The 22270-nt window shown below is 38.1% G+C and overlaps 1 long non-coding RNA gene across 2 annotated transcripts in view, besides 1 other annotated feature; it reads right to left on the bottom strand.

Annotated features, from left to right (window-relative positions):
• The window catches only part of LOC105374126 (uncharacterized), an 87216-nt gene that overhangs the window by 55678 nt on the left and 9268 nt on the right, over positions 1–22270 (bottom strand). For both annotated transcript variants that reach the window (XR_924533.2, XR_924532.1), the window contains one exon: positions 9330–9377. This is a non-coding gene — a long non-coding RNA (uncharacterized LOC105374126). The remainder of the gene's footprint in view (positions 1–9329; positions 9378–22270) is intronic.
• Positions 12283–13248: an enhancer, noted in NCBI's record as "NANOG hESC enhancer chr3:137413714-137414679 (GRCh37/hg19 assembly coordinates)". NCBI's record gives its function as "activates a minimal SCP1, AML or CMV promoter by ChIP-STARR-seq in naive H9 embryonic stem cells {active_cell/tissue: H9 hESC(naive)}" and the evidence as "EXISTENCE:reporter gene assay evidence [ECO:0000049][PMID:30033119]".

Raw genomic sequence — 22270 nt, forward strand, 5'->3', positions numbered from 1 at the left:
CACATTCAGGTTTAAGCTTTTGGTGGAAAAATAGGGATAGTGGGATAAGATATGTTTTTTTCTTTTTCTTTTATCCAATCCCTTCTACCTCCTACCCCAACTGGGGGCAGATCAGGGAGAAAAAAAATAGAGGAAACGTGGGTAATACTTTTCTAATTTAGATGGGAATGTTGGTAAGTCCTCCTCAGTTGTTAAATGTCTTTCTCATTGCAGGAGCCCAAATCCTGTCTCTCTCTTTGAAGGAGTGCCCAACAGACAAACACTGTCTCACTGCCTCATTTCCTGATGAAGATGTTCTCTTTAGCTAACCACTTGCAAACACTCTAAGATTTTGCTTCAATGACACAGCCCTAAGGTGCTCAACAAACTTCCTTTTTAGAAAATAACTTTCTTCCATTGATTGGTTCTTTTCAAGGCAACTCTCTTTTTTAAAAATTTATGCTATGGATTTTACATGATGCAAGAAATACAAATATTTGTCATGTGACTACAGGAGACCTCTTTGGTGTTTATATAGAAAAGTCTTGGGTTTCTAATATCAAGATCATACTTTGATTATTACCACCCTAGCTGAATTCTGATACTTAGAAAATGCAATTACCTTTTTTACTTGTATTCATTTATATTTTCTAAATAAGATATGACACACTTATGAGATAGGTTGATGGATAATGAGAGCTTTTTAACAGCTTTATTGAGGTATGATCGACATACGAAAATTATATATATTTAAGGTGAATAACTTGATGTTTTGTTCTACATAAACATTGTGAAATGATCAACACAATTAAGCTAGTTAACATATCCATGATCTCTACATAGTAGAGGTATTGTGTGTGTGCATATCATATATATTAATACGTGTGTGTACGTGTATATATGTGTGTGTGTGTATGTGTGTGTAATTCAGCCTTATAAAACAAAAAAATGCCTGTGCCTGTGATCCCAGCTACTTGAGAGGCTGAGGTGGGAGAATCACTTGAGCCCAGGAGTTTGAATCCAGCCTGGGCAATATAGCAAGACCCCATCAGAAAAAAAGGAAGGAAATAAGGAAATCTTGCTACTGGAGACAACATGGATGGAGCTGGAGGGCATTATACTAAGTGAAAAACAGCAGTACACAGAAAGAAAACTACTGCATGATCTCACTTAGATGTGGAATCTAAAATAGTCAAATTCATAGAAGTGAGTAGTAGGATGGTGGTTGCTAGGGGCTGGGGGAAGGGGAAATCGGGTGATGCTGATCACAGAGTACAATGTTTCAGTTATGCAAGATGAATAAATTCTGGAGAGCTAGCATACAGCATGATGAAGATAGTTATCAAGACAGTGCTTGCCTGGTTACCTCCCATGGCATCACCGCAGCCTACAGGTAAGATCACTAACCCTTAACCACCAAATGAAGTGAAGGTCACTACCTCAGCTCCCCTCTCTCCAGCCAATCTTTCCATCCATTTCCCTGGGAAGCAGTTTCCAGGCCTTGAACTCCAAGTGACATATCAGTCTCCCAAGAACTCTCCTCTCAAGTCACACTCTGCCAGCAGCACAGGAAGTGAAATGAGGGTCTCCCTTTCTCTTCAGCACCCCCAATCTCTCTAAGTCATTCTTTTGGGTTGTTTCTCATTTAGCTAATGTAGGAGAAGAGCACTTCTAACCTTCCCCTACCAATTCCTTTCCAATGTTCTTCCTCAAAGCACGCTCTAAGCTTCTGTTACATAAGCCGTTGGAGGAGAAGCTACTAGACCAGTATGACCACCACTTGGCAAGCCCTTGGGAGATTTATTTTAAACTGTATCAGACATTTTCCCAGGTTTGTCAACCAAGTCAACAGGAAAAGTCCCGTTCAACATCCTGTCACTCTCATATTACTTCCAATACTTACCACACCCTGCAAGGTGCATATGTTTCACAGGTAAGAAAACAGATGCTCAAAGACTTGCCCAGGATCACTTGGCTTTTGACTCATGAGACATGGATTTGAACCTGAGATGCCTGACCTTAAAGCCCACACCCTTTGCACTATACCTCAAGATACTCTGGCTCACAGATTAAATCAATCAAAATGCCTTTTTTTCATTCTCAAGCTAAAATATTGAATAATACCCCAATGAGCTGCATAGGACTGCTTCGAGTTCTGTTGCCAGAGAGATATAGTATCCACAGTCAAACTGTCAAATTGCTGGAACAAAAACAAACAAACAAAATATTATCTGCCAAGGAATACAGCAGCAGATTAAGGGCAGTCATTTCTGTTCTTTTCACAGCATCTGTATGAGCAAGATATTGAGAATATTAACCTTGCTTCTGTAAACCTTCATCCAAAAAGTTGCCTGATTTTTGTCCCAGCTATCCTGCTCTGCCTCTCATAAACCTGTCTGGTCACATGTCAGTGGGGTTTTCAGAAACTACAGGACCCAGGAGACAAGGAAGCTGTTGTCCCCATGTTTTTATTATGATTATTGGAGTGGGGAGCACATCCTCTTGGCCCACAGAAATGTACAAACCTTGCCCCTCAAACCCTAGAAGTCTAGCCACCCCCACTGCTGCTCTTTCTTTCCCTCCATCCATCCCAAACCACTCCTGTCAGCCCCCACCTTTAGACTTCCAAGACAAATTCACTATCATTTACCCCCAAACTGTTCTGCCATCACACCTTTTCTAAGTGAATGGCACACCAGAACAGGCCACATAATTTGTGGGGCCTGGTGCAGAATGTAAATGCAGGACTCTTTGTTCAATGATTAGGAATTTCAAGACAGCAACAGCAGAGCATTAAACGAAGTGTGGGGCCTTGTATGACTTTAATTAAGACCTTCAACTCCTCTGTATTACAGTTTATTATTTTCTCATCAGTTGTCCCCACTACACTGTGACCAACTTGAGGACGGAAGATGCACCTTAATCAATTTTGTGTCCTGGCGCTAGCTCAAGCTGGCACAAAGTAGGCTTTCCATAAGGACTGAAATGAATGAATAAATGGGCAAGAGTGTCACTTTTCTTCCACAGCTCTGACCCTGCAAGCTCATTCTGCCTTCTGAAAACGGAAGGAGCAGAGCTGCCCACCTGGAAGTTTGCCAGGATTGGGGCCTATCACGGATGCATGAAACACGCCCATGAAGCTGGTCTTGGGCACCACTATCCACCAGTCACTCAAGCCAGAAACCAGGACATCTCAGTTCCCCGCAGCCCCAACATTCCTTGGCCCCTCATTCACACATATAATAAACTACCCTATTCTATCAATTCTAAAGTTGTAAAAGCACTCAAACTCCTTCTTTCTGTCCTCACTGCCACCACCTCACTTCAAGCCTGAATCATTTTTTACTTGATGTATTAGTTAGGGTAAGGGGCTGACTGCTGTAGCAGAGAGACTCACAATGCAGTGGTCAGAGATTGAAACCAGGTTTATCTCACTCCAAAGCACAAGTCCTTAACCTATACCTGTATTTTCTAAGAAATTGAAGAATATCCTTAAAAAGTGGGACTATAAGAGTATATTATCCAGGGCTCCTTTGGATGCAAGTGATATAAATCCAACTTAAACTAAAAAATAGAGAGGAGGAGGAATTTATTGGTTTCCATAACTAAAGAGTCCAGAGGACAGCTATTTTCAAGCACAGCTAGATCCAGGCATTTGAACAATGTTATCAGGGAGCCATCTCTTGACTTTACTTTTCTTTGTTTGTTGGCCTCATTCCTTCCTACTGCAAATGGCTTTCTTCAGGTGGCAATGGAAGATGAAATACAAGCAGCTCCAGCTCACATGATCGCTTTCATTCCAAGGCCTGGTCCCCAGCTTTGTAGACCTGGATACTTGATCTGACCAGGGTCAGGAGTTGGTGGGACTCAGGAAAGCCAACTTATGCCAATGACAGGACCCTCACAGAGTCATTAGGATGTTCATTAGGATGTTGGTATATTAATTTACAGTGAAGCATTTCAAAACAGGACTCATGGTCTGGAGGCACAAGCCTTGCAGTAAGCTATAAGTCGCACCCACTTCTCTGGCTGAGCAGTGGTTCCTGAAGCTTCCCTGTGGGGAAGCTTTTATGTACCCCAATAGACCCCTTGCCCTAGGGAACTTCCAGTGGGATGGCTCTTCTCCTTCCATTCTCTTAAGGCAGAGTGAGTTTGCAGTGTCAGAGCTCTGGAAGACCGGTGACACTCTTTTTTAACTTATTTACTCCACCCTCATAGAAAACCCACTGTGTGCTGGCTTGAGCTAGCATCAGGACACAAAACTGATTAAGGCAAATTATCTGCCCTCCAGTTGCTCACAGTATAGCAGGGGTGACTGACAAGAAAATAAACTGCAATACAGATCTGTTGAAGGTCTAAAGTTAAGTACAAGATGCAGTGGGGAACATCTAAAATAATGGAGTCCTGGACTGTTCTAGCATTCATCACACTAGGTTTTAGAGCACTCTACGTTCATCTGTCTGTCCCTTATGAGAATATGAACCTTTAAAGGGAAAGGATCATGTTCTATTTCTCTCTATATCCCTAGCACTTAATGCACACTATGGAAATAATAAATGTTTGAACCAAATAAAGGGGTAAAATTAAAAGACTGAGAATTTTTTTTTTCAATATCTGTTAAGCACTCACCAAGTTCAAGGCTCTGTGATTGGTGTGAGGGAAACACAAAGATGACCTATTCTCACTGGGAGAGGGCTCATGGCACTGGAGTTTTTGGAAGTCAGCTGAGACCTCTTACGAACTGGAGTGTTGTGTCTAAAGACCAAAAGTTTCACCCTACTGTCTCCTAGAAGAATTGAGCCTGAGCATAAACTAATTACTCTTCTCTGCCCTGCAACTGAATAGACAAATACCTCTTTAGTTAGTCATTAGGATCTAATCAGAGTAATTTCCATACAAGAATGTGTGTAGATTGAGTTTGTTCTCCAATTGTAACATTTGTGAAATTCAACCACAATTCTACTTATTAATAGTCATTAGGGGTCTATAAATAACGCACAATCCTTTAGGTTAAAAAAAAAAAGCTGTGAGCTTAGCTGGTTTGAAATGTAAACAGGCTATTCATGAATTTGCACACTGTAATTCCCTGTTTGGCCTCTGGCCAACATTCATTCCCTGGAAGTGGCCACTGATAGAAACGTTGTATGTCATCTGATGATGAGTCCTGGCAGGTCAAGATCTAGATTTGTAGATTTACAATCCAGTAGTCTGCAACTCTCTTTCACCCATTAACTTAAGAAATATTGATTGATCCCTTCAGCATTTGGGTGCCGTGGGTGGTACATGTATGGATGCAGCACAAGTCCAGCCAGGAAAGAATTTAAATTCTGCTGTTAGATGTGGACCTGGATATTAGCAACGTCCAGCAGGGATGCAGGTGGGGAAGGAACGGGAAGGGGGAGTCAGTCTAAGCAAAAGAAGCTGAGATCAACAGCTTAGAGCACAAAATTGAACATTATAAAATATTCCAACTTTTTAAATTGGGAGACTTGACATAAACTTCCACATTTCTAACTTCTCTTGTAAAGTAAGGAGATCTGACAGCACTGAGGCCACCTTCCATTCCTTCTAGCAGCAATCAGTTGTGCCAAGTGTTTCAAAATTCCCCACAGATATTAATCTTCAGGATTCTGGAACAAGAAACTGAAATATTATATTCAGAAATTCCCCACAAATCATGTTGTTCTCAAAAATATTTTCAAAATTCTTCATATACATTACTCATTATTGTGGATATTTTTAAAATTCTTTAATAAATGAATATTGTTTAGCTGTATTTGCAAATAAATGTAGGCCATAGTAAACACTACAAAGGCCAGGGAGAATCACTGGGTAGTACCAAATGGATCTAGCAAGGTTCACTGCACTACACAGAACCATATGTCAAAATTGCCTATTAAGGACTGACTTTGCTTTGAAATTTGTTTTTTCTTGGAACAGCCATTCACAGGATTTAAGTATGCTATTCATATAAACTTACTAATATTTATTTTATTTGGAAGATTGACACACTCTAAGTAGAATACAAGGCCACAAACACACACTTAAAATATGGGACAAGTCATAAGAAAGATTGACCAATTAGATCATAAAGGCTACTTAAATCTTCATCACTTCTCTCCTCCATGCTCCTGTACTTATTCCTTGAAAAGTTAACCTTAATCTTCAATTCCATATATCAGCATTTACTGCTCCTGTTTTCAACTTGACATCAGCGATTTCTTTGAACCAGTTATATCTACATTGATTGTTAAAGTTTGATTCTTGGCAAAGAGCTGTAATACCTTTTCTTGACTTATTGACTGATTTTTCTCAGGATTCTGGATTCAGAGAAACATGCATTTTCTAAGAAATCCTAGAACAGAATTCCTGCATGGAGACATGAGTTGGATCTCAGCAGCAGCTACTACCTTAGTTATGGAATGTGTGTTGTGTAATTCTCCGGAGTTCACAGTAGCCTTTACTTCTGTCCTCTAAATTGAGACCAAGTGTTGGGTACCATTGATCATGCTTCTTCCAGTTATATGATCTGCCTGGCTCCAACTTTTTCTCTGGGCTTAGGGGGATGAAGGCCAGGGACATTCAGAGACACTGCAAAAGGAGCAGCTGCTTTGAGTCAGGTAAGTATAGACCATAGGGAAATATTGCTGGAACATCATTAGTTGTCAAGCTAAGACATTTATCTTACCTGGTGGGAAGCTATTGAAGGTTTTAGAGAAGTGTGTCCCACCACCAAAGCCATGCTTAGGAAGATCAATCTGGTGCCAGCCTGTAAGATGGCCTCAGAGGCCATGGGCGGAAGCCAAGCAGTCCATAATGGGGATTTCTTGCAGGAGGGAATGAAAGCTTGAAACAAGGCTCAGGCAGTAAACCAAAGAGGAAAGGAAGGACACTGAGTCCCCTGTGAGGGAGAGTGGGCAACACCTGGCTACTCATTGGAAGGGAGTGCTGAGGGGAAGGCTCTGAGGTTTTGAATCTACAGGTTCTGAGCCATCCAGCCAGAATAAGGACTCCAGAGAAGGGAGTACCAAGGCCACCGGACAATAAGGTCCAGTTGCCCTGGGTCCCCCTCAGATGTGTTCACAGGCAGAGCGATGAGGAAGGGGTCCTGCACATCTTCCACACCTTTGCCCTATACACATCTCACTTTCTTCTCCCTTTTACAAAGCTCTCAAATTTCAATTGACACCATCTTCATATCTGCTAGCCATAGAAAGGCAGATAAACTTTATTTCAAAGAAAGGACTCTTACAAGTGATTAAAATCTTTTATTCACCCCCTCGCCATTAATATGGTCTATGTTCCAGCCAGGGAAAAAGATGGGATGCTGTCTCCAATGCAAGGACTTGCCTAGTGTCCTTATAGGATTTTTGTATAAAACTTCGACTGGTGTCCTCACCTCAAGTCCCAGGCCCACAGCACACCTGCTTCCCACCAGGCTGCACACTGCATCCATCAGGCCCTCTCTGAGTCCTCCCCAGCCCTCCTCAACCCTGAATAATTCAAGTCCTTCACAGAGCCCTAGCTGCAGCTACCCATTACCTGGGAGAGTTAATAAGAAATTCACCTTCCCTCCCTGGCACAAATGACTTCCAGTCAGTTCATTCTCACAGGAAATAAATTTTAAAATGGAAATTAAACAAAACAATTGCTAGCAAAGGTAATAACATGTCACCCCTGCAATCTGCCTCTGAGAGGAATATATTACTATTCCAAGATCGCAGCGGGCTTAGGGAACCACCAACCACCCAACCCGCTCCAGGCTGCAGGGTTTTGCAGTGCTGGGTGGGCTGGCCCTGTGGCTCAGGTGTCCATGCACTGGTGCCCATCAAGCTGCTGAATGGATCTCAAAACCACATATCTACTCCTCAAAACACATGGGCTACACATAGGTAAAGGCCTCTGCACTCACTTCTGAGTTCTCTGTGGCCTAGAGTTGTGATGCCTTTGTCCCTAGGACTGTGCCCAACACCAGTCAAGACTTCGGGGACTATAACACAGTGATTAGGAGACAAGATTGTAGTGGATACAGGCTCTTTCATTTACTACCTGTGTGACCTTGGGCAAATTACTTAAACTCTCTAAGCTTTGGTTCCTTATCTGTTAAATAGGATAAAAAAAAAAAAAAAACCTACCTCTTAGGATTACTATGAAAGCAAATAAATTAATGCTTGCAAAGCCCAGTGCTTCACAGATCATAAGTGCTCAATAAATGTCAGCTTTTATTATTATTCTATTTTTTAAAGGCCTCCAGGGTTGAGACAGATATTCCACAATGTAAAGCAGGTCCCATGTGATTTATTATTTAGAATTGTATATTCTATTTAAACATGCAGTGTGTTTCTTTAAAAGGCATCATATCTTTAAACAAAACTTACAGAGTTGGAAATCTGAGTCAGGAGTTGAGTAACAAAATTGAGTAGAGATGTCTGTTAAACAGCTTAGAATTCACGGACCAGAAAAATCACAAAACTTGAATTGAAATGCTACTAGAAGTGGTTCCAGGCTACATACATATAAATGTACAGGCAGGATTGCTTATTTTTTACTGGAGGAGAAAAACCTGAGACAATATTTATATAAAAAGAGATAAAGACTGTAATCAAATAACTAACCGGAAGGACTAAGAAAGCAACATAACTCCTACTTGCTGATTCATATAAGCACGTAACTAAAGAATATTGACATGATAGAAAAACCCTCACAGCGATTTGGATGCCAAACTTTGTCTGTGTTCCAAAGTGAATGTTTTTATCCTGTGGGGAAGTTTCATCATGAATCAGGTTGTTTTTCACTTAACCCTGGGATAAAGGATCAGTTAATTTTACAAGAAAGGTTTAAATAAAAGCTAGATGAAAACCTTAAAGTTTGACATGACTATATCTCCACCTTGTGATGGAATACTATGTGGCCAGTAAAAATGATGGCAGAACTGTTAGTGGGATGTACATACCACCTAGCTGAAGGACAATTCGACAATACATATATTTAAAATATTTAGGAATTTGTGCACCCTTTGATAGAATTCCATCTCCATTACTTAATTTTAAGAAAACAATCTTGACAGTATATAAAGAGAGAAGCACAATGATATTGAGGATCTTCATCAAAATGTTTTTCATTGTCATTAAAAGTTGTCTATAAGTTAAAAAATGAACATTAAAACATTTGATCAACTGTTTAGCTCATATGGATGTGTTTTCTTGCTATTATTTGATAAAATTTTCCCCAGTCACATCCTACCTTTGTGTTTTATCTTGCCCAGGTCTATCAGGTGCCAAGCAAGGAGATACTTTAACAGTGATTGAGCTTGAGCTCTGGGGCCACAGGGCCATGGGTTTGAATCCTACCTTTGCTGCTTGCCTGGTGCATGTTCCTTAACTTTTCAATCTCTTCATCTGTAAAATAGGAATGATAATAATACTTACCTAATAAGGTTAGGAAGAAGATTAAATGAGTTAATGTGATATCAATTATACAGAGTAAGGCCCAATATTTACCGTGTTCCAATAAATGTTAGCTATCATCAATAGAGCCTTTTTTTTTTAAGACAGAGTTTGGTTCTGTCACCCAGGCTGGAGTGCAATGGCATGATCTCAGCTCACTGCAACCTCCGCCTCCTGGGTTCAAGCAATTCTCCTGCCTCAGCCTCCTGAGTAGCTGGGACTACAGTCATGCACTACCACACCCGGCTAATTTTTGTATTTTTGGTAGAGACGGGGTTTTGCCACGTTGGCCAGGCTGTTCTCAAATTCCCAGCCTCAGGTGATCTGCCTGCCTTGGCCTCCCAAAGTGCTGGGATTACAGGCATGAGCCACCGTACCCGGCCAATTCAGCCAATATTTCTGACATCATCACATCAAACACATCTGGACTCTAAATCCCATGAGCCCTCAATTAATATTTAGCTAAATCACTTGTGAAATTGTCAGGAACATGAACATGATTGGATGTTCATGTTCCTGATAATTCTTCAGTGCTTACACTGATGATCTAGAAATGGTGACACTTCGCAGAAAATCAGAGATGATACCCTCTCTCCCTAGTACACTCCTCAGTATAGAGCTCAACATTCAAAACAACCTTAGACATTCCTTAGACCCAAAAGATCCAAGACCAGGGTCTGCAAAGCATAGACAGCCAAGAGTCAGTGTACCCAGCCTGTTCTTCTAGGAATCTTCTGCTGGACCAAATTCTAGGAATAAACATCAATCCGTTAGAGCAGGGGCCCAAAGTAGATAGGAGCCCTAGCCAGAATCCATATTACCCATTTTAGTCCACACTGTGTTTTAATTTTTCTAAACATGTCAACAATTAGTTAGTAGGTTCCACATTAACATTTCAGGCTTCTGAAATACAAGAAGAGTTGGCCACACCGGGCCCTCATTTCCCAAAGGCAGTAATCCCTGGAAGCTGAGCAGCAGCTGCCCCCTTCAGGCAGGGCATGGGATCTCCAATCTGCCACAGTCTCGGTCCACTAGCTTGACTTACCTATATTTGCTGAGCCCTGAAGGCACTTGGTTTTCTGACCCTGCTCCACACCATGCATTTGTGTGTGTGTGTGTATGTGCACATACGTACGTGTGTACACACCTGTGGTGGGGAAGGGTCTTGGCTGGAGTATATTGTTGGGAGTCTCCTAGGACTTAGGAATGTTTTAAAAGATGGAGGCAGGCTTTAGCAGCACCAATGGAAGTGCTTTTAAGTAAGCAGGATATTTGGGGTGCAGGGTTTCTAAACACTACTTGCAAGCTATGACTGTGTGGGCCAGGCCGTAGGCAGTCTCGCAGGGCTGGTTAGAAGTTACAGAATTCCTGTGCTGTCCCCTGTCAGCAAAGTGCTGAGACAACAAACTTAACCTCTCTGTCCAGAGTGAGCCTATCAGCCATGGTTATTAAATCCCACAAAAGGGAGAAGAGGAGAAGTGAATAGGGCTGAAAGAAAAAGCACTTTCCCCATTTGGATAGCTGTGCAGAACAGGAGCTGCTGGAGAAAGGCACGGAGTGTAATTGCTGGCCTGAAAGAAAAAGAAAAACTATAAAAGGAAAGAAAGAAAGGCGGGGGGAGGAATTGATAATGAACAATTTATTCTCAGAGCTAACAGTTAATTAATTCTGAAAATATCTGTCAGGCTAATAGAAATGGGGGGAGGGCTATGCCACATACACAATTAATAAAATAATAATAACAAAAAAGGAAAGAAAAAAGATTTTTTAAAGGTGTTACTATCTTCTTACAGGCTGGGCCCTTGGCTTCCCAATGTCATTTTCAACACAATTTTTTCCCCTCCATCTCTTTTCAGAAATTGTTCTCATGAATGATTTATATATGTCTAGTTATCTGGAGTGATTTCTATGGACCCCAGCGCATTGCTGCATAATTGTTAATTTTAACGCCATAATAGCTTCAGATGGAGGAAGAGATTAGGCATTTATTGCACAATTAAATGAAACATACTTGAGAATCACAAAGGGTTCCATAATTATTTCAGACCATTAATAAAATGGGCATTAAATTATATGGGACACAAAAGGGAAAGGAAATAGATTTTCATTACAGCAATAGAAGCTGAGAGTAGTAATAGATCCTTGTTGAATTATCTTTCTCTCTCTCTCTCTGAAATTAATTGTTGCCCAGCTTATTTCAAAGCAAAATAAAGGAGGGGAAAAAAAGTGTTTTAAAGAACCTCTGATGAAAGGGCTTTGTTTGATGGGGACAATAGCCAGTGATACACTCCAAAAAACAAGGTAATCTTTGATTCTGGCTCCTTGCCTTTAGTTCTGAAGACTTAAAAGGCAGTGTATTCAGCAGCATGGGGCTTCCCCACCCCTACCCAACTCCCAACACAACATGAAGATTCGGGTGGGATAGGGAAAGGTGGGGATGTCAAGGAAGGGTGGGCCACTGCTTCTCTTTTCAACTGCTCCTGAGGGGAGAACTCAGACCATTATACATGACTCCACACTGCTTGACGACACTAAGATTATCCAGCTTGAACTTCTTGAAAGAGAATAAAAATGGAAGGAAAGTCACTTCATTCATTGTGTTATTTATTCAACATGTGCTAATCTTCACACCAATATTATGAGGAAGGTACTATTATTATCCCCATTTTACAGTTGAGGAAACTTGAGATGGTTAAGAAATTTCCCAAGGTCCTACATGCACTAAAACAGCATTTTAAAACAAAGGAAACAGTGTCCCTGCCCTCAAAGTACTCATTTTCTAGTCGGGGGAGACAGACAAGCGCACAGAAAAGTCTGATACCATGTCACTTACTGCTGGACCTGTGAGCTGCACCCAGACGCCAGCACAGATCTGTTGTTGCAGCAGCAGAAAACGCAGTGGGATGAAGCCCTCCCTCTCCTTTTCCTTCACTGTACTAACGTTATATCTTCCCAACAGAATTCAAGCCAGTGCTCCCTCCATTACTGTAATGTGATCTACCTTTGTCCCTTGGGGGTCCTGTGAGCAGGATCCCTGCCTAACTCTCTTTGGCATTAATGGCAAGATGACAAAAGGAGGCCAGCGTCCCTGGAGTGGTCTTCAATCCACATAGGCTGCCTCTGCTACGAAGTAATGACCATGATGAAACTAGTGTGGCCGCTGCTTTAAACTAGAGGCATTAGAGTAAGGACTAAAGGTCAAAAACTCTAGTGTGAAAGCTGCAGCAGACCTCAAGCAACCAAGAAGCTCCTGCCATGGATATTGCGCTATCACTATTATCTCAGGCCTCTGAATGTCACTCTGGTATCCAGGCATGTCTGTTGCTGGCTCTACCTGAAATCTGGTGGGGCTATACCTCAGAATCCAGAACTATAAACCGAACGTCTCTGTCCTGATGCCACAGTTCAGCTTCACAGGGTCTGCCCAAGGCTGCCCAGAAACACTAACCTTTTACTCCAAAACCTCAGCTCTTTGTCCCAGCCCACGGATCTTGTAACACTTAACAGGAGTCACGGTGTATAGAACTCAGATCAAAGAGCCCCCTTAACTCCATTAGCAAAACAGAGCTTGGCAATGGGAGCCCAGGATTTAAGGAGATAAGGCACACTGCTCTTTAGAGGAACTCACCCAGAAGTAGCGGGAACAGCACAGAAAGGAAGGTAGGGGTCTGAAGATACCTCTGAAAATGACCCAGATGTCAGCATCACGCAGAAGGTCAAGTTAAGAAGGACATGTACCAAGTTAAGTGACTTAGAGCCATGTGAACATAAGACCCATAGCCTATGGATTTCTCTTTTTGACAAGGTAAGCCACTCATAAGGTAATGTTTCACCTGACAATTCTTCCACAATTTGTGTATTAATAAAACTTTTATCTTCTCTATTAAGAAGAATAATCTCCAAGCAGGTAGTAAGAAAAAATGAGTTCTAAGAAAGATAAGGAGAAAATATATGAGCACTTTCAGATCCAAATGAATTACATAGAAGAGACTAAAGAGAACAGAGAGAGGCAAATGCCAAACTGTAATTGGTAATTTTTATGGAATCATGGAGAACAGGGAAGTTCTCAAGAGATTAGGATGTAGACTTAAATAGTCTCAATTTTTACTAAGATAGATTCTTGGGACAGTATATCAGTGGTTTTGAAATGGTTTTTCACCTGCCTTTCACACACAAAAATTCTAGATTTTTATTTAGGTTCAACAAAGAAACTAATAAGGAGGATGTGGTTTATTAAATGAAAAGGTCTAAGGCAAGGGACTTCCTTCCTTGAAGTATGGCAGACTAGATATTCCAAAATGCCTTCCCTGGAGGTCTAATATGACTAGATTCTGAATATGTTACAATAAACACATATTTAAATGTATAAGTGAACTCAAAATAAGTAGGAGAAATTCCTGTTAAAGACAAAACAAAACAACACATAATTTTTTAAAAAATTCATGAGTGATAACCATGAGCAAAATTTTGTGAAGCCTTAAGGGCAAATACCAATTCAGGGACCCAATGTCTTGGGGATTGACTACTGTGCAGGGAAATGGAAGAATAAAACATAGTCAAGAAAAATGTGGGAAATATGCCCAAGATTCTTACATCATGCCAAGACCCTTGAAAAGGGTGGTACCATGGGTGAAATAAGGGGTAAAATTATCCAGCTGCCAATGAAAGGAACCTGCAAGAATTATGTTTGCTCTGCCATGATTCTGGATAGAAAATAACTGCAGCAACAATAATAATAATTATACTAGTCTCTAGAGAATTTGCTATCCTAGACTCTCTTCCATTCAGACCTGGAGTTCAAACGTATAATACTCATAGGTTAGCTAAGAAATTCGAGTAGTTCAGAATTAATAAAAACCTGTCACATCTGGTAATAAGAAAGGGAAACACTCTCTAACTCCTCAGGATTCACATAGATTAAGTTCAAACACAAATTTGTGATACAAAAGGAAAGAAAATACAAAAAGAGTGAGCCACCATTAGGGAGATACAGTAGAAACAACAAACCACAGTTTTGGACACTCTCCTATCCCAAGTATTTTAGTTACTAAAATTGTGTATATAGTTTATAAAATATCTCTGTATAAAATGCTTTTAAAAGGAAAGAAATTTTTAATACAAAATATAAGAAACTATAAAATTATTTGATAAAGGAATCAAATAAAATATTAAAAGTTTATATAATACAATTTTAAAGCTCAGTGGATAGATTATAAAGCAGATTAGATACAGCTGAAAAGAAAATGAATTGGAAGATGAATCTAAAGAAATTACCCAGATTGCAGTAGAGAGAAACAAAGGAAGTAGAATGCATGAAAGAGAGATTAAGAGAGTTCCAGAAGGAGAAAACAATGGGAAAGAGGCAAAAATCAAAGATATGAATTTTCCAGATCTGTTGTAGAATGTGAATCTACAGCTATAGGAAGCCTGACATATACCAAGCCGTATGAAGTTCGTGTGTAGACACGTTATAGTTAAATTACTAAACTCCGGAGATAGAAGTTCTTAAAAGTGGCAACAGAAAAGAAAGGAAAAGAAAAGGAAGGAAAGGAAAGAAAGGAAGAAAGAGAAATCAGACTTAATAAAATGTAAACCTATTGTGCACCAAAAAACATCATTAAGAAAGTTAAAAAGACAACCAACCTAGAGAGTGGGCAAAAATAGCTGAAGTTATATACTTGATAAAGGTTTGGTATCCACAATATATACAACTCATCAACAAAAAGACACATAATCTAATTTTTTTTTTTTTTTTGAGATGGAGTCTTGCTCTGTCGCCCAGGCTGGAGTGCAGTGGCACGATCTTGGCTCACTGCAAGCTCCGCCTCCCGGGTTCACGCCATTCTCCTACCTCAGCCTCCCAAGTAGCTGGGACTAAAGGCGCCTGCCACCACGCCCGGCTAATTTTTTTTGTATTTTTAGTAGAGACACGGTTTCACCGCGTTAACCAGGATGGTCTAGATCTCCTGACCTCGTGATCCGCCCGCCTCGGCCTCCCAAAGTGCTGGGATTACAGGCCTCAGTCACTGGCGCCTGGCCCGGAAATGCAAATTTAAACCATGATGAGATACCACTCCACACCTATCAGAATGGCTTAAATAAACACTATATAGTGATAATAACAATTCCTGATTATGCAGAGAAACTGGATCACGTATACATTGCTGGTGACATAAAATGGCACAGCCACTCCAAAAACTTTGTTTGGAAGTTCTCAAAAATCTAAAAATGCATCTACCCTATGACCCAGTAATTGCAGTCTTGGGCATTTATTCCAGAGAAATTAAGACTTATGTTCACACAACCCAAATATCCTTCAATCGTTAAAAAGTTAAACCATGGTACACCCATATCTTGGAATACTACTCAACCATGAAAAAGAATGAATTATTGATACACACAACAACCTGGATGAATCTCCAGTGAACTATGCAAAGTGAAAGAAGCAAATTGCAATGGATTACAATACTGTATGATTTGTTCTATAGGACATTCTTAAAAAGACAAAATCATAGAAATGGAGAACAAATTGGTGGCTGACATGGGAACAGAGCAGATTGGGCAGGCGTGTGGCTATAAAAGGACAACAGGAGAGGTCCTTGCAGTGAGGAAAATGTTCTGTATTAACTCCACTGTTCTCATTTTGACATTGTACTATTATCTGGAAGATGTTACCATTGAGGGAAACTAAGTAAAGGGCACCTGGAGCTCTCTGTATTATTTCTGACAACTGCTTGTGAATCTACAATTATCTCAAAATATTATAAAAAGTTTAATTAAAAAAAAACTCGTGGGATGAAGCTGAAGCACTAATGAAAGGAAATTTTGTATCCTGAAATGCTGATACTAGAATGAGATATGCATCCTACTTAAAAGGTTTGAAAAATAGCATCCAGATAAATACAAAGAGGAATGATATGACAAAGGGCAGAAACAATGAAATAGAAAACAAAAATAGAATGAATAAAGAAGTTTGTTTTTTTGAAAAGATTAATATAAAACAAACTTATGGTAAGATAAATCTAGCGGGGAAAAAGAAAGAAAACACAAATATTCAATGTTAGGAATAAAAAAAGAAGACAGAATCAAAAGAGATTTAAAAAAAAAACAATCAAAACATACAACTGAGACTTTTATGCCAACACATTTGTAAGCTGAGATGGAATGTACATACTTTTAAAAACTATAACTTTTAAAAACAGTTTCCAGGAGAACCAGAAAGCCTAACTAGATTTTATAATTATCTATTAAAGAAGTTGAATCAGTAGTTTTAAACCTTCCCACAAATAAAACACCAGACCCGATGATTTTATAGTTCACTCCTGCCAACTTCCCAAGGAATAGATCAATTATATGAATTCTTCCAGAGACTAGAAAAAAAATGAAATGCCTCCGACCTCATTTTATGAGATTATTATAATCTTGATATTAAGATCAAGCAAGAAAATACAAGAAAGGAAAAGAGAGTGAGAGAAACTAGGGATAAGGCCTATAAAAGATGTGAAAAAATTTTCTATAGCTAACTATAAAATGATATTGAAAGACATTACAGGAGAATAAAATAAATGGAGAGTTCTACTTTGTTCATAGATAGAAAGGCTAAATATTGTAAAGATGCCAGCTCTCCCCAAATTATTCTATAAATTCAATTGAATTCCAAACCAAATCCCAAGAAAGTTCTTTTTGAAACCTGACAGTCTCATTCTAAAATGTATATGGAAGAGCAAATGGCTCTGACAAATGGTCGAGACATTTCTTAAAAAAACAAGGTAGGATGACTTGCTCTATCAGATTTCAAAATTCTAAAACTAGAATTATTGAATATGGCATTTGTGCAGATGCAGACAAATATGCAAATGGCATAAAAAAAGAGCACTCAAAAACAAACCAATGCATAATTAGAAACTTGGTATATAACTTAAGATGGACATGACAATGACTAGAGAAAGTAGAACTATTTGGTAAATTCAATCCCTATCTACACACACACACACACACACACACACACACACACACACACAAATTTCCAAGTGAATTAAAGATGAGAATGAAAACCTCAAAGCTTTTAGAAAGACATAGGGGAAAGGTTTGATCTTCCTTTTGTTGGTGAAGGTTTGCCTTTACCACCAATCACCTGATCTATCTGGCTATTATCTGTACTATTGCAGGTCTATAAGAAGTACAAAGAGAAGAAGATGTACATAGGTTCTATAATTCTATTGTTCAATCAAGCCTTAAGGACCATTGAGTAAAAGGTCTTTATAGACTGGAATTCTAAGACAAAATTTGCCTTGGGTCACAATAAGAACCTAGTAAGAACATTTCTCTTTCTGGTCTGTGTATGAGAATTGGGCTTTCAAAGCACTCCTCTCTCCAGGCATTCAGTCTGCAAAGGATTGATGATTTCTTGAGTCTGAAGTCAGGATCAGCTTGATCTTAGGGCCAAACCAACTGTCAGACATGTTTGTTAGTAAATTGTGCTACCTCCTGGAATAACTCTGGTTTATGTATTCTCATTCTTGCATATATCTCTCTAAATGTAATGGTTTCATCCAGGACAATTTAGAATTGCGCTAGCTACCAAAACCACTGGAGAGGTTCTGTGGCATCCATGAGAGTGACCTATTCATATCTTCCTTTAAGAGAGAAAGGCTGCAAGGAATGTAGTCAACTGACCTGCCCCGCTTTAAAGATCCACCACATTTATGCCAAGGCCATATCTTCTCCAGGTAGTTCATTTCCAGTAACTTAGCACTGTAGGCATATGAGATCTGGGAAATTCCTGTTCAATATAAGACCCCTCTAACAGGAAACCTTTGCTCTGAACTCCCATTGGCCTGATTGACGCTTTCTCAGAGGCTCTTTATACCCAATCTTCCTCACTCTGTCTCCTTTCACATGTATCATGCCTCCATTGCAGTCCGAAGATTCTCCCTGTTTATTCTATTTTTGCTCTCCTTTTACCCTTTAAGAAGCTCCCCGCTTCACAAATATTTTTCACATGTAATTTGATTTTGCCATCAGCTTCTCAGAAGACCAGAAATGAAATGGGTGCCCCAGAACAAAAAGGGAAGAACCCTTTATGAGAAAATTATCTGCTTCGTCTGATTAAAACATATATTATTTTAATACGAAAGATCACCGTTCTTTGGGGCTTTTATTCATGTAGTCCTCATAAAATTATTAATGTCCTAAGTTGTTTAAACCAACTGTAGCAACTGTCTCTGTCTCTGTCTTTCTCTCCCTCTCTCTCTGGTGTGTTGGGCAGGGGGGGCACGTGTGTGTGTGTGTGTGTGTGTGTGTGTGTGTGTGTGTAAAAATATATCTTCCTGCGTCCAAAGCTCCTTTGGTGGTCTGTAATGACTTCCATATTTGTTTGTAGCCAGCTCCTCTCACTTCCTCTTCTTGTTATACCCCTTTTCCTCTCTTTCTCCCTCTCTCTAGAAGCTTTGAAGATCAAATACTCTTTGAAAAATTGTATTCTTATGTTCAATTCTAAGAACATCAATTCAGATAAATGCATCTAATATGAAATGGGAATGAATCACACTGCAAAATCTCTGAAAATTTAATGGGTTAAGTTCAGGTCCTACTGGCTTCAGGGGAAAAAAATGATATACTAAATACTCACGTAAATTTGAAAAAAAATGCAAGAGTTTTTCAAGGGAAAAAAATTAACTCCTAATTTTTGTTTATTTTGGCTCTTCCAAGGGAAAAATGCCCATTATAACTACACCTCTGAAAAAGAAGTAAAGCTTTACCTGTGAATTGAGTTAATGGCTTTAGTTACTTGGTTACAAGGTAAGAAAGAAAGTGAGATATTGGAAGCTTTTAAACATGATTTAAATAATCTTGAAAGTTTGTTTATAAATTCAAATGTGTTCAAATTGAAATTAATGTAATACTCCTATCAACAGGCTTTGGTCAAATTAGACTCACAATTTTAATTTAAAAGCAACTCTATATCTTCTCCATGTTTTTACCACCTTGTAAAAATAATGTAAATACAATATTCTACTTCATACAAGGGTAGAGTTTATTTTCTCATGACTAAAATTTTCTAAATTTCATATATTTTATAAGTCAAAAAGTTATTTTCACGAATTGTTTAAGATTTCAAAAGTATGTTTAATTAAATTATGTAATAACAGATGTATTTTAAAAAGTTATTGGCTTCACAAATTGATTTCAAAAGTATGTTTAATTAAATTATGTAATAACAGATGTATTTTAAAAGTGTTATGCTAGTGAAATTTTCCTAATGTTACAAATTATAAGAACTTGATGTGTCAACTTGATCCTATAATTTTAATAACCTTGGTTAACTTTAAGATCTTGAATTGATATTAATTTTTGTTAATTTATAAATAACATTTGAATATCTAGACAGCATAATTTTCATTTACCTACACTCTTTTTTCTACATTTTAAAGTAGACATTAGTTAATGTGTCAAAAAAGAATGCACAAATATCTTTACATTTTATTAATATCTATGTTCATTTTTGAAGTAATATAAAAGAATAGTGTGCTGTTAAAGAGATGTATATGCAAAATGATGGATGTTGAGAATGGAAGATAGATAACAGAGACTGGGAAGGGTGAGTAGGAGGAATGGGGGAGGATAAAGAGAAGTGGCTTAAAGGGTCCAGACACATAGTAAGACAGAAGGAATAAATGTTTGATAGCAGATAAGGGTGACTATACTTAACAAAATATATTGTACTCAGGTGACGGGTACCCTAAACACCCTGACTTGATCACTATGCATTATATACATGTAATAAAAGTTATGCACTCCATACATTTGTACAAATAAAAATAATAATGAAGAATATATTTTTGTTTATCAGGAAAAAAGAGAGAGTAATTTTGTCTTAAATAATAACTGGTTGATTGTACCAGGGCATGAAAGAAGATAATAAAGATGAAAAAAATAAACTTTATTTGCCTGGGTTAAAAAAATCCATAAATAATGAGCTTTAAGGAATGTGTGAAACATTGAAAAAGTTATGTTAAATGTGATGGATTTATACATAAGAAAGACCCTTTTCTTAACTGCAAATCATTAGAAAGGTGATTTGAGATTTCCTTGTGTTGAAATGGCCAAGTGAGTTGGTGCCCAGATAACATAGGTCTTTTTTGGCACCACAGTATTTGTTAGCTAGCTATACTTTTGACTGATTCTGGAATCACATTTGAAAAAATACCTTAATTTTGAAAATGGTTAAGTTCTTAATAATTATTATTACTTATTGCTGTTTTTTGTTATGCACATATACAATTGTAGTTGTTAAATATTCTTGAAGCATTAACCCTGTTGTCATTTTGAAGTGACTCTCTTGTCTCTAGTAATACTCCTTGTCTTGAGGTCTATTTTGCCTGATACTCCAGCTTTCTGATGTTTATTGTTTACATGGTATATCTTCTTCAAATTTTTTTCTTTTAATTTATTTGTGTCTTTGTATTTAAAATGTGTCATTTGTAGGCAGTGTATACTTGGTTTTTACTCATTTTAATATCATTTTAATATCACTCATTTTACTCATTTTAATAAAATATCTGCTTTTTGTTTTGACTATTTAGTCCATTTACATTTAATATAATTATTGATATGGATATATTTAGGTCTGCCATTTTGCTATTTTGTATTTGTCTTATTTATTTGTTGTTTCTCTATTTCTCTTTTTCTGTATTTCCTTCTTTTTGTGTTAACCAAACATTTGTTAGTTTTATTTATTTTCATGGGTTTCTAGCTATACTAATTTACATCATTTTTTAGAGGTTGCATCTATAACTTATCTCAATATATTTAGAACTAATATTGAATTACTTCCTGTAATGTAGAAATTTTGCAACAGTATTTTTCAATTCATTTTCCCCATCCTTAGTACTATTGTTTTAATATATAATTTTATATACTACAAACACAATAATACAGTATAATTTGCATTAAATGGTTAGATGTCTTTTAATATATATGTAAATATATAACACATATAGTTATATAGTCATACATTGCTTAACAACAGTGATACATTCCAAAAAATGCATCATTAGGTAATTTCAATGTAGTGTTAATATCATAGAGTGTACTCACACAAACCTAGATAGTATGGCCTACACATACACAATGTGGTATGGCTATTGCTGTTACAGGCTACAAACCTGTACAGCATGTTACTGTACTGAATACTGTAGGCAACTGTAACACAATGGTAAATTCTTGTGTATCTCAACATATCTAAGCATAGAAAAACTACAGTAAAAATACAGTACAAAGTATTTTTTAAAGTGGTACATTGTATATTTTCTGTCACTTACCATGAATGGAGCTTGCAGGACTGGAAAGTTGCTCTGGGTGAGTCAGTGAATGAGTGGTGAGTGAATGTGAAGGCCTAGGACATTATTATACACTATCGTAGACTTTATAAACACTGTACACTTAGACTACACTAAATTTGTATAAAATATTTGTATTTCTTCAATAATAAATTGCTTTAGCTTATTGTAACATTTTTACTTTATAAAATTTTTAAAGTTTACTTTTAAAAAGTAAAAAGTAAAATTTTTTACTCTTTTGTAATAATACTTAGCTTGAAACACAAATACACTCCGCAGCTGTACAAAAAATGTCTTTCTTTATATCCTTATTCTATAAGCTTTTCCTATTTTAAACTTTTTTGGCTTTTACTTTTTAAACTTTTTTGTTAAAAACTAAGACACAACACACACATATTAGCCTAGGCCTACACAGTGTCAGGATCATCAATATCACTGTCTTCCACCTCCATATCTTGTCCCACTGGAAGGTTGTTAGAAACAATAGCATTCATGGAGCTGTCA

This window comes from Homo sapiens, chromosome 3, assembly GCF_000001405.40.
Source record: "Homo sapiens chromosome 3, GRCh38.p14 Primary Assembly".
NCBI lineage: Eukaryota > Metazoa > Chordata > Mammalia > Primates > Hominidae > Homo > Homo sapiens.